General features: G+C 45.0%; 1 protein-coding gene across 5 annotated transcripts in view; it reads left to right on the top strand.

Moving 5' to 3' along the window:
* MYO10 (myosin X) overlaps positions 1 to 14503 on the top strand; it is a 274382-nt gene that overhangs the window by 252023 nt on the left and 7856 nt on the right. For all 5 annotated transcript variants that reach the window (XM_006714475.4, NM_012334.3, XM_005248307.3 and 2 more), the window contains 10 exons: positions 331 to 386; positions 2253 to 2395; positions 2763 to 2957; positions 4162 to 4319; positions 8112 to 8235; positions 9116 to 9413; positions 10377 to 10584; positions 11441 to 11577; positions 12724 to 12844; positions 13288 to 13740. In XM_006714475.4, the coding sequence (XP_006714538.1) occupies positions 331 to 386; positions 2253 to 2395; positions 2763 to 2957; positions 4162 to 4319; positions 8112 to 8235; positions 9116 to 9413; positions 10377 to 10584; positions 11441 to 11577; positions 12724 to 12844; positions 13288 to 13740 (1893 nt within the window). The remainder of the gene's footprint in view (positions 1 to 330; positions 387 to 2252; positions 2396 to 2762; positions 2958 to 4161; positions 4320 to 8111; positions 8236 to 9115; positions 9414 to 10376; positions 10585 to 11440; positions 11578 to 12723; positions 12845 to 13287; positions 13741 to 14503) is intronic.

Here is a 14503-nt window from a genome sequence, read left to right as displayed (position 1 = left end):
TCAAAAACAAACAAATTAAATTAAAATAGAGGTACTTGTAGAAAACTTAGTTAAAATATTTTTAAAAACAAAGAAATAAATTATTGAAAGGTTAAGAGGTAATGATTAACTTGTAATTTTAAAAAATAAATGGCCTATAGATTCTGCTCCGTGTAGAGGCTATTTGTACTCACACAACAGAGGAGTCGTCTCATAGATAACTATTATTTTGAAGTTAAAAAGAAAAGAGCCTTTTCTGTCTGATTGGGAGTTGTGGGCTAGAGGTATTACTGTAGTGTGCACCCTACTTTAGTGCTTCTCTCATTCTGTTTACTTTTTGTTCTTTTCCAGGGCACCTTGGATGTGGGGCTGATTGATTCTGTGTGTGCCTCTGACAGCCCTGATAGGTAAGCTCAGATGTGGCTCTTAACAAAAACAGCTCATCACCTGTGTGTGTCCACAGGTGTCTGTGCTGCTGGGTCACGACCCTCTTCACAGGGCTGTGAAATCACGCAAGGCTGTGTGTTCCCACCTTGTCAACCCCAGCAATCCAGTCTTCCTTCTTGGTACCCAATTTTACATCACCTGGAAGTCTCCTTCTCTGGGTATCTTTGGAGTCCTGGGGAAAACCGTGGGAACCTGGACAATTTTAAAAAGCATGAGGAATATTTTTAATGTGTATACAGGGACAAACTTGGGATTTATACAGGAAGAAAATGCCTGTTTAGGAAAATGATATTCCAGCAAAGGGGAAGGGAGTCATTCTCCTTTCTGAACTTAACGATAAACTTGAAAAGGATTTTGATGATAATGTATATGTAGAGTATTAATAAACCACAAACATTGATTTTCCTTGACATTTCTTCTTTCTTGGCACCCTTTTTGGTTTTGATTTTTGAAGGCAAATCATCTTTGGAGATGATCTTACGCGTCTTTGTGCCCAGTGAACTTCATCTTTATTGTCTCTGTTTTTCTGTATTATCTTGTAAGTTCTACTTCTGGCCTGCAGCAGAATTTAAGAAAAGTTTCTCTAGGACGGACCAGAGAAAGAATCAAAATTGTCTTCTGCCCTCAGTAAGATGCTGGAAAGTGAATACGAGTGTGTTAAAATTGACAACAAAATATAGTGCCTCCTTGGCAGAGTTAGAGTGCTGGGGTCTCTGTCAGTCACCCTCCCGTTGACAAGAGCCCTTCTGAACCATGGGTCCTTTGTTTTTAGTAGTCAGCTTGCACCCCTTATAACTGGCTCAGGAATCTTTAACACGTATGTGTCATATCCGTAATCAAAGCCCTGGTGCTTCTTATTCTGGTATGTGAGTTTCTACCTTACCTTCTCCACATCTTTACTCTCCCAAGCCCTTCACTCCTCCAGGCTGGGCATGTGATGATCCATCCTTAGAATTTTGCATCCTCATTCAGGGTTTTCTCTCTTCCTCAACTGGCCACTTTTCTCCCTTGCCAACTATAGAAAAAGGCTTTTTTTATTTTTTATTTTTAAGGGGCACCTCAAGTTTAGCCTGTTTGCATAGCTTTTCCTGTGTCCTGCAGTCCAGTTACTCTTTTTCTTAAATTTTTGTGTCACCTAACTACAGTGAACATTTGAAGACTTGCAAGAAAGAGTTCACATTCTCTAGCTTAAGCCGTTAGATAGAGGAGTTAGTATTTATATTAGCAAGGGCCTATGAGAGAGGTTCAGGGCATTTCCAGACAAAAAGAGGTGAGGGAGAAAGTAAATTTCCATTATCACGTTATCCGTGACTAGGAAATGCACCCTTGTTAGATCACTTTGGAAACCCGGACCCAGGTGGCTTTTTGTATAAAGCGTAATCAAGCATTTAAGATGCTCCACCTACACCTATTTACTGATCCTCTTTTATTGCTGGTGTCTGACATTTCATTACCAACCCACAGAAATATTACCCAAGGCAGGAAGAAATTGACTTTGGAGAGGCATCAAAAAAAAATTTTCCCTCATGGTCACCTTGTTTAGCCTTCCCGGAACTGAGTTTCATCTGGAAAGTTTTGCATGAAGAAATGTTTTCCCTTCCAGGACCTTCAGAATGAATGTGTTGCTCCAAGTTTAAAGGTTAATGATGCGTAAAAGAAATTCTGCAGAAATGAGCAACGTTTGCCTTAATAAAAGCACAGATAGCCTAGCAGTGTATATCCCGTGACCCAGAAGCCAGGAAGAAGGCACTGAGTCTCGGTTCACACAGAGGTGATGCTGACGGTAGGGCTAAGGGGCTTTGTTTCCTTCTCATCTTGTGGCTCAGACCCAACTCGTTTGTGATCATCACGGCCAACCGGGTGCTGCACTGCAACGCCGACACGCCGGAGGAGATGCACCACTGGATAACCCTGCTGCAGAGGTCCAAAGGGGACACCAGAGTGGAGGGCCAGGAATTCATCGTGAGAGGTGACTGCCTGCCCTGCTTCCTCGGTCTGCTTAACAGACTCCCCTTTCCATTTGCATATAGACATCTGCAGCATTTTCATTTCGAGCTGCTTTTCCCAGTCATTTTAACTGTTGGAGATTTTGTAAGTGATTTTTAATTTGTGATATTATAAAGTGTTTCTAGAGGGTCATGTTTTTTGTTGCTAGTTGTGATTTTGGGCTTTTCTTTCATGTAGTCGTTCCATTTACATCGGGTTGGGGTGTTCGTGGTCTTTTTCTGGCAAACAGCTAGAAACCCCACCCATGTGTTAGCATTATGCAGATGATTGTGTGGTCTTTGGGGTTTCTCCTCACAGATTTTAATTTACACTTTAATCTTTTTTTCCAGGATGGTTGCACAAAGAGGTGAAGAACAGTCCAAAGATGTCTTCACTGAAACTGAAGAAACGGTGGTTTGTACTCACCCACAATTCCCTGGATTACTACAAGAGTTCAGAGAAGAACGCGCTCAAACTGGGGACCCTGGTCCTCAACAGCCTCTGCTCTGTCGTCCCCCCAGATGAGAAGATATTCAAAGAGACAGGTAACCAGGCTGGCTGCCCGAACCCTGAGCATCAAATCTTAAAGTCTGGGCTTGCTCCGGGCAAAGGAATAAGATTCCTTCCTAGTGTGTACTTTATTTCCCCCCAAAGAAGTTGTCCTCTTGGTTTATCTTCTAAGCCTGTCTGGGGTTAGCTATGTGACCACTTAGTGTTTAAGCCGTACTAGAGGTCGATTCATGGAGTGGTAGGAAGATTCTCGCAAGGACAAGAAAATGTCAACAGATGCAGGGCATCGTACGGGAAGCTTGGTTTTCATATACTGTTTTCATCCTTTTAATTTTCATTCTTCTCATTTTTGAGACAGGGTCTCACACTGTTGCCCAGGCCGGAGTGCAATGGTGCAATCTTGGTTCACTACAGCCTTCCAGGGCTCAAGCAATCCTCCCACCTCAGCCTCCCGAGGAGTAGCTAGGACTACAGGCACGCACCATCACACCGGGCTAATTTTTATACTTTTTGGTGGAGACCAGGTTTTGCCATGTGGGCCAGGCTGTTTTCCATCATTGTACGATGAGCGTCCTATGCAACCTGTAAAAGATAAATCCTGACTGTCCATGAACTTAGCCTAGTAGCATAGAAAGTACACAGGTAACTTAGAGGGTTTCTTGTAATTTTTGTAGTATTATGAAAGTGTTTCCAGAAGATGGCTTATTTTGATTTTTGTTGCTGGTTGTGATCTTGTGCTTCTGTGTAACACAGTTGTTCCATTCGCGTCAGGTTTGGGTGACGGTTCGGACAGCTTGCCTCTGAACTCACACACTGCCAGGCCAAGTGCTGTCTTCTGAAGGGAGAGGCTAAAGAAAGGAAAGGAAGAAATAGGAAGTAAGAAGGAAAGTCAGAAATCAGAGAGAGTTTTCACTCCTGTTCCAGAGCCCAAAAAGAGACATTAACTTACCCTTTTCCCTTCCAGAGCCAGTTATCATTTATCTTTATATATTTAATGATGGGTTTATTGTTCTAATACTCATCTCCCCATCTCAGCTGTAAATGTCACAGTGCAAGAGACACTTTTTTTCTTCATCACTAGATACCTAGTGCAGGGCAGGACAGGACACATGTAGGAATTAAGCCAGTGTCTATTGAATTGAATAATTAAAGGGACTGAGGTCAGAGAGGACACAGGCATTGCCTCAGTCCCCGAGGTTGGCGTTGACGTGCGTGTGCTGGGCACCCCTGCCATTGCAGGCTACTGGAACGTCACCGTGTACGGGCGCAAGCACTGTTACCGGCTCTACACCAAGCTGCTCAACGAGGCCACCCGGTGGTCCAGTGCCATTCAAAACGTGACTGACACCAAGGCCCCGATCGACACCCCCACCCAGCAGCTGATTCAAGATATCAAGGTAAGCCAAGACAAGCCCATCAAGGTGGGTGATTACAGCTCAGAGATTCTACCCTTAGAGCACCAAGACCTCAGCATTAGTGAAGCTCAGTTTTTTTTCTGTAATCAAAACTAGTGCTTGGTTGGCCGGCACGGTGGCTCACGCCTGTAATTCCAGCACTTTGGAAGGCTGAGGCAGGTGGATCACTTGAGGTCAGGAGTTCAAGACCAACCTGGCCAACATGATGAAACCGTATCTCTACTAAAAATACAAAAATTAGCCGGGTGTAGTGACGCATTCCTGTAATCCCAGCTACACAGGAGGCTGAGGCAGAAGACTTGCTTGAACCTCCGAGGCAGAGGTTGCAGTGAGCAGAGATCATTCCACTGCACCCCAGCCTAGGTGACAGAGTGAGACTTCGTCTCAAAAAAAAAAAAAAAAAACACCCAAAAAACTAGCGCTTGGTTAAATTTGTGTTTGAGTACCCTGCTTTCGGGAATCTAAATGAGAAACTTTAGACCAAAAATGTTTTGTCTCTAGGGAAGTGTTAGACATTTTCGCTGAGTCACCCGATCCCACCTGTTGGGTTCTGTGGGCAGAAGGATGAGGTCTGCAGCTTGCACTGTGGGGCTCCCTGCTCATGGGGATGTGGTGACCTGCGTGGGGGACCACCTGCTTTGCGTCAGGTTCTCCCTCAGCCTCAGTTGGAGACCTTCTAGGAGTAACCGGCTAGTTCCACTGTCACTGTACAGTTTCCAGACCACACGAGTGAATTCCCAAGGAGCCCAGGGTGGTCTAGAAGAACACTTGGCATCCCTCTCAGGCACGTGCAAACTTCCAGAAGCTCCTGAGTCTCTCTATTAACACCGAGCATGTTACATTACAAATTGCTGTTTATAAGTACGTGTAGTCGCTCAGTAAATCTATGTGAGATGAAGGAATGAATGGTTGCATGGCAGCCCTGAGCGGGGATTCTTACCCTCACTTTCCGGAAATGGAACGGTGACGGGGGATGTTCTGGTTGCACTGCCCACGTAGCCGGTCAGTCCCGGGTGCAGAACCAAGTCAAGGGAGACTGCTGGCCCTCCAAGCAGTCCTGCAGGCAGATTCCCAGGGCAAGGGACAGAGCTGGGGCTGTGACAGAGAAGGTGCTAGAATGATGGTGAGGCAGGTATTTTACTGATGGACGGCAAAGGAAATTAGCTAACCAGATCCAAGAGGGAACTCAGTTTTTGTGGAGGTGGGAGAGGATCTAATCCATCAGTGGTGGATAATTTTCCATCAAAATCAAATTGGCCTCCTGATTCCAAAGTGGTATGTTCTCTGGGTGTTTAGGTGTTTAGAACCAGATTCTGGCAAGCCAGTTGTTTTTTGTTTGTTTTGAGACGGAGGACGGAGTCTTGCTTGTCACCCAGGCTGGAGTGCGGTAGTGCGATCTCAGCTCACTGCAACCTCCGCCTCCCGGGTTCAAGCAATTCTCCTGCCTCAGCCTCCTGAGTAGCTGAGATTACAAGCACCCACCACCACGCCCAGCTAATTTTTGTATTTTTAGTAGAGATGGGGTTTCACCATGTTGGCCAGGCTAGACTCCAACTCCTGACCTCAGGTGATCTGCCTACCTCAGCCTCCCAGAGTGCTGAGATAACAGGCATGAGCCACTGGGACTGGCCTTGAGCCACCACACCCAGCCCAGTTGGAACCAGATTCAGGTTGTTTTCCATGCAACCCAGGGCACTGGCTACACATAATTTCATTTTTAGCCTTAAAAAATTTATTTTTTGAAGATTTCTTCTGAAAGGAGTAAAACTATCATGTATCAGCCACACTCAGTCTTCGGTGCTGGAACTTACCTGTTTTTGTATTCTTCAGTTTGAATTCAGACATTAAAAGAGTACATAGGATTTTTCAGCTGGGCATGGTGGCTCATGCCTGTAATCTGAGCACTTTGGGAGGCTGAGGTGGGTGGATCACCTGAGGTCAGGAGTTTGAGACCAGCCTGGCCAACATGATGAAACCCTGTCTCTTGTGAAAATACAAAAGTTAGCTGGGCATGGTGGCAGGTGCCTGTAGTCCCAGCTACTTGGGAGGCTGAGGCAGAAGACTCGCTTGAACCCAGGATGCAGAGGTTGCAGTGAGCCGAGATCACGCCATTGCACTCCAGCCTGGGCAACCAGAGCGAAACTCTGTCTGCAAAAAAAAAAAGAGTAAATATGATTTTTCAAATATGAAGCCATGCTTCTTAAGAAATAAGTTGGCCGGGTGCGATGGCTCACGCCTGTAATCCCAGCACTTTGGGAGGCCAAGGCAGGCGGGTCACGAAATCAGGAGATTGAGACCATCCTGGCTAACACGGTGAAACCCCATCTCTACTAAAAATGCAAAAAATTAGCTGGGTGTGGTGGCAGGCGCCTGTAGTCCCAGCTACTCGGGAGGCTGAGGCAGGAGAATGGTGTGAACCCGGGAGGCGGAGCTTGCACTGAGCCAAGATAGCGCCACTGCACTCCGGCCTGGGCGAAAGAGCAAGACTCCGTCTCAAAAAAAAAAAAAAAAAGGTCAAGTTACCCTAAATAAGTCCATAAAATTGTTTGAATCAATTTGAATTTAGACATTAAAAGAGTAAATATAATTTTTCAAATACAAAGCCATGCTTCTTAAGAAATGAGTCAACTTACCCTAAATCAGTCCATATAAATTATTTAAGTAATTAAAAAATTTTTATGGCCTTCAATTGGATATTACTGAAAAAGTTTTATAGTGGAAATGAAATTACCACGATAGAATGATTCATTACCTCTCCTCCAACTTTTCTGTTTATTTAAGGTTCTAAAAGTAACTTTGTTTTTTTCATATCCAGATGACCATTTTAGGAGCATAGGTACATGATGAAGAAATTCCGTGAAAGACTTTCTTAGGTTTCAAGGGTGGCACGTGGAAGGACAGTCTCCCCAAGAATATATTAATGTGTGTAGTTTTCAGGTATAGAGAGAATAGAAAACAGCAATTCAAGAACTAGCAAAATGTGTTTATGAAATGAACTATAGATAAAAATAACATGATTTAGCTACTGATGGCTAAATCAATAACAGAAGATCAGATTAATTTTTTTTATTTTGCTCTCTTATTTTTTATAGAGACAGGGCCTCACTATGTTGCCCAGGCTGGTCTCAAACTCCTGGGCCCAAGTGATCCTCCTGCCTTTGGCTCTCAAAATGCACAGGCATGAGCCACTGTGCCCAGCCTAAATTTTTTTTTGAGACGGAGTCTCGCTCTGTCAGCCAGGCTGGAGTGCCGTGGCATGATCTTGGCTCACTGCAACCTCCGCCTCCCGGGTTCAAGCAATTATCCTGCCTCAGCCTCATGAGTAGCTGAGATTACAGCTACTCAGCCACCACACCCGGCTAATTTTCATATTTTTAGTGGAGACAGGGTTTCACCATGTTGGTCAGGCTGGTCTCGAACTGCTGACCTCACGATCCACCTGCGTCAGCCTCCCAAAATGCGGGGATTACAGGTGTGAGCCACCGTGCTCTGCTGAGATGAAATTTTTTAAATGTATGTAATCTCCAGGGGAGAAAATTTAAAATCACATGGGGAAGTACACGCACGAGAAAATAAGAAATGAGCTGTAAGAATGTATTTTTGTGATTTGTCTTCAAACACAGATTATGGGTATCTTCGTCCATGAAACCACCTAACACTGGATTTCCACCATCTTTGCCCCACTAGGTTTATGGATATTTGAGAGTCTTGAAAAATATTTATATGTAGGAAAATACAGGTTTCTTACAATAAGCTTGCTTGCTTTATTTTTAGGAGAACTGCCTGAACTCGGATGTGGTGGAACAGATTTACAAGCGGAACCCGATCCTTCGATACACCCATCACCCCTTGCACTCCCCGCTCCTGCCCCTTCCGTATGGGGACATAAATCTCAACTGTAAGTCCAGAGCTCCACCCCGACTCCTCAGAGACCATGATTCCACTTGCCCTGCTAACTCTTTAGCTTAACACAGAAGCATTTGTTTTTATCTCAAAGACTCTCTTATTCGTCGTGAATTGGAAGGAAAAGATGAAATATACTTAGATTCATTATTAAAGCAAGACTTCTAGAGTGTGGTTGTAGTAATGCTAAGATTGATTGCTGTAGTAAAAGAAGAGATTTAAAGGAGTCAGAAAATGCCAGCTCTCCCCATGAACTGAGAGTAGCCTTTTGTTTTGTTTTTGTTTTTTGAGACAGAGTCTTACTCTGTCACTCAGGCTGGGGTGCAGTGGTGCAATCTTGGTTCACTGCAACATCTGCCTCCCAGGTTAAGGTCGTTCTCATGCCTCAGCCTCCTAAGTAGCCGGGATTACAAGCACCCGCCACCACATCCAGCTAATTTTTGAATTTTTAATAGAGACAGGGTTTCGCCATATTGCCCAGGCTGGTCTTGAACTCCTGGCCTGAAGTGACCCACCTGCCTCGGCCTCCCAAAGTGCTGAGATTACAGGTGTGAGCCATTGCACCTGGCCGAGTAGCCAGACAACCAGATCCTAAGTAATTTTGCATTCCAAAAAAGGATTTTGTTCAGCAACAGATTACCTTTTAAGTAAGCATTTTATGTGGTAAGAAGTTCAATTAGATAACAAAACAGTGTCAACTTACCCACCTCTGTGCTTTTAGATCTGTGTTCAACTGATTGAGATGTATAGGGAGTGTGGTGGGCATTGCATCCGTCCTCCTCATTTATTCCTTTGTCTTGACTACTGCTCCGATTATGCTCATGCCCTATTCTGAACCCCTCAGATGAGTTCCGTGTTTGTTTTGCTTGTCCTAGTGCTCAAAGACAAAGGCTATACCACCCTTCAGGATGAGGCCATCAAGATATTCAATTCCCTGCAGCAACTGGAGTCCATGTCTGACCCAATTCCAATAATCCAGGGCATCCTACAGACAGGGCATGACCTGCGACCTCTGCGGGACGAGCTGTACTGCCAGCTTATCAAACAGACCAACAAAGTGCCCCACCCCGGCAGTGTGGGCAACCTGTACAGCTGGCAGATCCTGACATGCCTGAGCTGCACCTTCCTGCCGAGTCGAGGGATTCTCAAGTATCTCAAGTTCCATCTGAAAAGGTAAAGCATGGGGGCACGGGAGATGAGCTGGGCAGAGCTGCTTACACAGGTGGGGCACTGGGTCCTCGTTCAGATAAAGAGGCTTTTGAACAGAAGACACCTCTAGTAGGACAGGGACCTCTGGGTCAGACTTGTGGGTTGCCTGAGCAAGCTTAGAGAATGCTGCCATCCTTTTTAAGTCACACAAGGTTATTTCAGGGACCAAGTCACCGTTGGTGTAATGTCCTAATGTATAGGACATTGGATCAATTAATTACCACTGCTCTATATTTAAAAAAAAAAAAAAAAACTTGGATATTTGTTCCAGATCAAAGAGATAGAAACAATCTAATTGAGATTTTGATTAGCTATAGAAAAAGAAGTGTCTTTTCTTTTCTTTTTTTGAGACAGAGTTTTGCTCTTGTTGCCCAGGCTAGAGTGCAATGGCATGATCTCGGCTCATTGCAACATCTGCCTCCTGGGTTCAAGCGATTCTCCTGCCTTAGCCTCCTGAGTAGCTGAGATTACAGGCGCCCGCCACAACGCCTGGCTAATTTTTTGTACTTTTAGTAGAGATGGGGTTTCACCGTGTTGGCCAGGCTGGTCTCGAACTTCTGACCTCAGGTGATCCACCCGCCTCGGCCTCCCAAAGTGCTGGGATTACAGGCGTTAGCCACGGCGCCCGGCCAAGAATTTTCATATGATAGGATGAGGCATGACTCTTTCAAGTATTAACAACGCTGCAGAGGTGAGTTGGCAGCACAGTTGCTCCCAGTGAGACATTGGCTCTTTAGGGGTTTTTTGTATTTAAATTGAACTGCACAAAATGAAGCGGGCCCTTGCCAAGAAGTCACTGGTGCTTGCTCCATTCACCAGTGGGGGACCATTCACTGCTTTGGTCTACAGAACCTTGGCACAGCCTAGTTCCTCCCAGCAGCCAGCCCCCATCAGTCTAAAAATTAACAGTTAGTGTTTGCCTCCTAGGATACGGGAACAGTTTCCAGGAAGCGAGATGGAAAAATACGCTCTCTTCACTTACGAATCTCTTAAGAAAACCAAATGCCGAGAGTTTGTGCCTTCCCGAGATGAAATAGAAGCTCTGATCCACAGGCAGGAAATGACATCCACGGTCTATTGCCATGGCGGCGGCTCCTGCAAGATCACCATCAACTCCCACACCACCGCTGGGGAGGTGAGGAGAGGCAGCTGCTGCTTGTTCTGTTAGATGCCTTTGCTGCAGATACACCTGCGTCAGGAACATTGTGCAGCATTAGAGTGGCTGTCCTGCACAGTTGCAGTTTGCTTAGTACAGCTCTCAATACTAAGGAAATGCATGTAACCCAGAAGCAACCACACGAATATAGAGATAAAAATATATATATTGAGTGGAAACACAGAGATAAAGTACCTGAGACATAATCTTGCTAATCTGAGAAGCAGCTGAGTGTCTAGCAGAGCTGCAGACCTGGCTCAGGTCCAGCCACTTTGATGAGGGTTTATTGCAGTGCTTCTGCAACAAAGTGTTTGTTTGCACGTGACTAGCTAGATGAATATCAGATGAACACATTTTCTTTTTAAAATTTGAACTTACTATTATAAAACCAGTTGGCCAAAAGGGTGGTAATCCAATAACCACCACCCCGACCCCCACCCCCCAAGGCTTCTTATGGAAAAAAAAAAAACGTCATCTGGAGTCTCTGTTGTTCCTTGGAGTTCATAAATTTATCAGCCAAAAGACAGGACTGAAGCTTTTCACCCGCTTTTCCTGTTAATATAGGTTTGCAAGAAATCAGCCCAGCATCTGCCTCTACCGATGGGCAAAATACCCTGAGTTATTTTCAGCAAGAAAGAGATAAACCTAATCTCAAGAGAACAAAGGGAAAATAGTACTTTTGAAATTCTGGGATGACCACACGGGTAACATTTTTAGGAGGCTGGAGACGCCCTTGTGCCAGCAGCTCCCTCTGGGATCAGGTGATGGCACGTTCTGGGAACACGTGTTGGGGCCGCAGCCTGTGGAACTGAAGTCCCCCTGGTGTGTCTTCCAGGTGGTGGAGAAGCTGATCCGAGGCCTGGCCATGGAGGACAGCAGGAACATGTTTGCTTTGTTTGAATACAACGGCCACGTCGACAAAGCCATTGAAAGTCGAACCGTCGTAGCTGATGTCTTAGCCAAGTTTGAAAAGTAGGTTCCTTTTCCCTACTGTGTCAGAAGAGCAAATAAGAGAAATTGCAGAGCAGGGTTCAGGGTTTGAGCTTCCCATTCCATTTGTGGCTTCACGCTGTATTGGAGTTAGTTTTATTTTACCTGTGTTGATGCCTGTTTAACTTTGCATATCCGCTATTTTTCTCGATTCCTAGATAAAGCTACGGTCTTACGTGATGTAACTTGTCAGTGGTTTTTTACCCCATTCCTTTTCTCAGTTCCATGTTGGACCCGTCTGGGTATTTCTTGATTTTTTAGGTTTCCAGTTGTCATTAGCTTTGAAATTGGGCTGATTGACTGAAGCCAGCTTATAAACTCTTTAAACTATGTGTTATGTCTACAATATAAAATGGACCTACTTTTTTTTTTTTTTGAGATGGAGTCTTGCTCTGTTGCCCAGGCTGAAGTGCAGTGGCGCAACCTTGGCTCACTGCAACTTCTGCCTTCTGGGTTCAAGCAGTTCTCCTGCCTCAGACTCCCGAGTAGCTGGGATTACAGGCATGTACTACCACGCCCAGCTAATTTTTGTATTTTTAGTACAGATGGGGTTTGGCCATGTTGGTCAGGCTAGTCCCAAACTCCTGACCTCAGGTGATCCGCCCACCTGGGCCTCCCAAAGTGCTGGGATTACAGGCGTGAGCCACTGCACCTGGCCTGTAGACCTACGCTATTTGATCTGTGACTTCATATCCTCGAAGTAGCGCGAAGGTATTCCTGCTTAGTATAAACACAGCCCTCATACAAGAGTATTCACATCAATTTTTATAAATGTTATCATAATGTATCTGAGGCTTGGTAAAGGTAATAAAGAAACAGGCTTTTGTTTCTTTTCTTCCCGTGGACTCAGCATAATGCTTAGCTGGTACTAATTCGAATGCGGCTCTCTGAAAACACTTGTTAGCTGGTTAAACTAGGGGCTGCCTGTTTGTTTTCTTAAAGCAAAATCAGGATGAAAGTACGTTTTTTCACTCTGTTTATTCCTCTATCCCCATCTCTATCCACTGTTTTCTGGGCCCGGACAGAATGTCTGTGTCCTTAGAATACACCATGTAAAGTCAGGTCCCTGCGGGTCACTGAAGGCCCTTCTCGTTCATATTCTGAGCCTCTCTTGACTCCTCTCTGTAGGCTGGCTGCCACATCCGAGGTTGGGGACCTGCCATGGAAATTCTACTTCAAACTTTACTGCTTCCTGGACACAGACAACGTGCCAAAAGACAGTGTGGAGTTTGCATTTATGTTTGAACAGGTAAAAGGAATAGTTAGAAACAGATTTCTTTGCCGGCAAGCAAGGGTGAAACCTGTTAATACTTAGCCTTGTAAGTTAACTGGTACTTAGAAATGAGGCACACCTGTGGATTTCCCAGCAAAGACAAGACCAGCTGCTCTTTCATTCGTTTGTAGAATGAAACCTGCTACACATTTTATTTGAACCTCCGTTCCAGGGACTGTTCTAGTTGACAGGAGAGAGAGCACAAGGAATAAAATATGTGACGTGTGTTAGATGGTATCTGTGCTAGGGAGAAAATTAAATTTAAAGCAGTGAGCCAGGGGTGAGGGTACAGTTTTAGCCAGGGCAGTCAGGGAAGGTGAGTTTGAGAGAAACCCTCATGAAGTGAGGGAGCAAGCGACGTGGGCATCCCATGGCATGGCAGTGCGTTGACCGGAAAGCTGTTGACTGTCTCCTTTCAGGCCCACGAAGCGGTTATCCATGGCCACCATCCAGCCCCGGAAGAAAACCTCCAGGTTCTTGCTGCCCTGCGACTCCAGTATCTGCAGGGGGATTATACTCTGCACGCTGCCATCCCACCTCTCGAAGAGGTTTATTCCCTGCAGAGACTCAAGGCCCGCATCAGCCAGTCAACCAAAACCTTCACCCCTTGTGAACGGCTGGAGAAGAGGCGGACGAGCTTCCTAGAGGGGACCCTGAGGCGGAGCTTCCGGACAGGATCCGTGGTCCGGCAGAAGGTCGAGGAGGAGCAGATGCTGGACATGTGGATTAAGGAAGAAGTCTCCTCTGCTCGAGCCAGTATCATTGACAAGTGGAGGAAATTTCAGGGAATGAACCAGGAACAGGCCATGGCCAAGTACATGGCCTTGATCAAGGAGTGGCCTGGCTATGGCTCGACGCTGTTTGATGTGGAGGTGAGAACTGGCTGCCGTGTGTTGGGGTGGGCTGGGTGCTGGCATCTGAGAACATGGATCACGGCCAAGTTCATGTGGAGAGAAGACAAGATGGAGCATTTTGCTCTCTCAACCTCTTTTATTCGAGCCCCCAGAATTGTACCATTAACGCCTCCCTTCTCCTCACAGTTTCTCTTCTCCTGTGTAGTAAACACATCTGTAATATTAGGAATGAATGCAAAATTAAGATGTCATCTATTCTTCTACCCTTCCTTAGGGAAGCTATAGATCTAATTTTTTAAACACTGATAAAAATCTACATTTAAAAAAATGTTATAGCTGTATATACAAATTAGAAACTTTGGATATACTTGCATTTTACTTTGTTTTTTCTTTACAGCCATCTGTTTGAAAGGAAGAATGTCTATCTCGTAATGGAATTTAGCCATTGGCATCAACCCAGTACTGATTTTTGTTTTGTTTTAAGTAGACCGCTTATTGAAAAGAAATCTTACTAATTGTCTAGATGAGAGTTTGGCAAACTGGTCTGTGGGTCAGATCTTGCCTGCCTCCTTTTTTCTAAACAAAGTTTTATTGGAACACAGCCAAGCTCATTCCTTTAGATATATTCCCTGGCTGTTTTTGTACAGAGTTGAGTAGTTGTGACAGAGACCATGTGATCCACAAAGTCTAAAAATCTTTACTATGCAGCCCTTAACAGATAAGTGTGCCAGCTCATCGTCTAGATTAGCTTCCATTTTTTATGATCACAGTAATTCAGCGT

The sequence above is a fragment of the Homo sapiens genome, chromosome 5, assembly GCF_000001405.40.
Source record: "Homo sapiens chromosome 5, GRCh38.p14 Primary Assembly".
NCBI classification, from domain to species: domain Eukaryota; kingdom Metazoa; phylum Chordata; class Mammalia; order Primates; family Hominidae; genus Homo; species Homo sapiens.
This window is presented reverse-complemented; position numbering and strand designations above follow the sequence as displayed.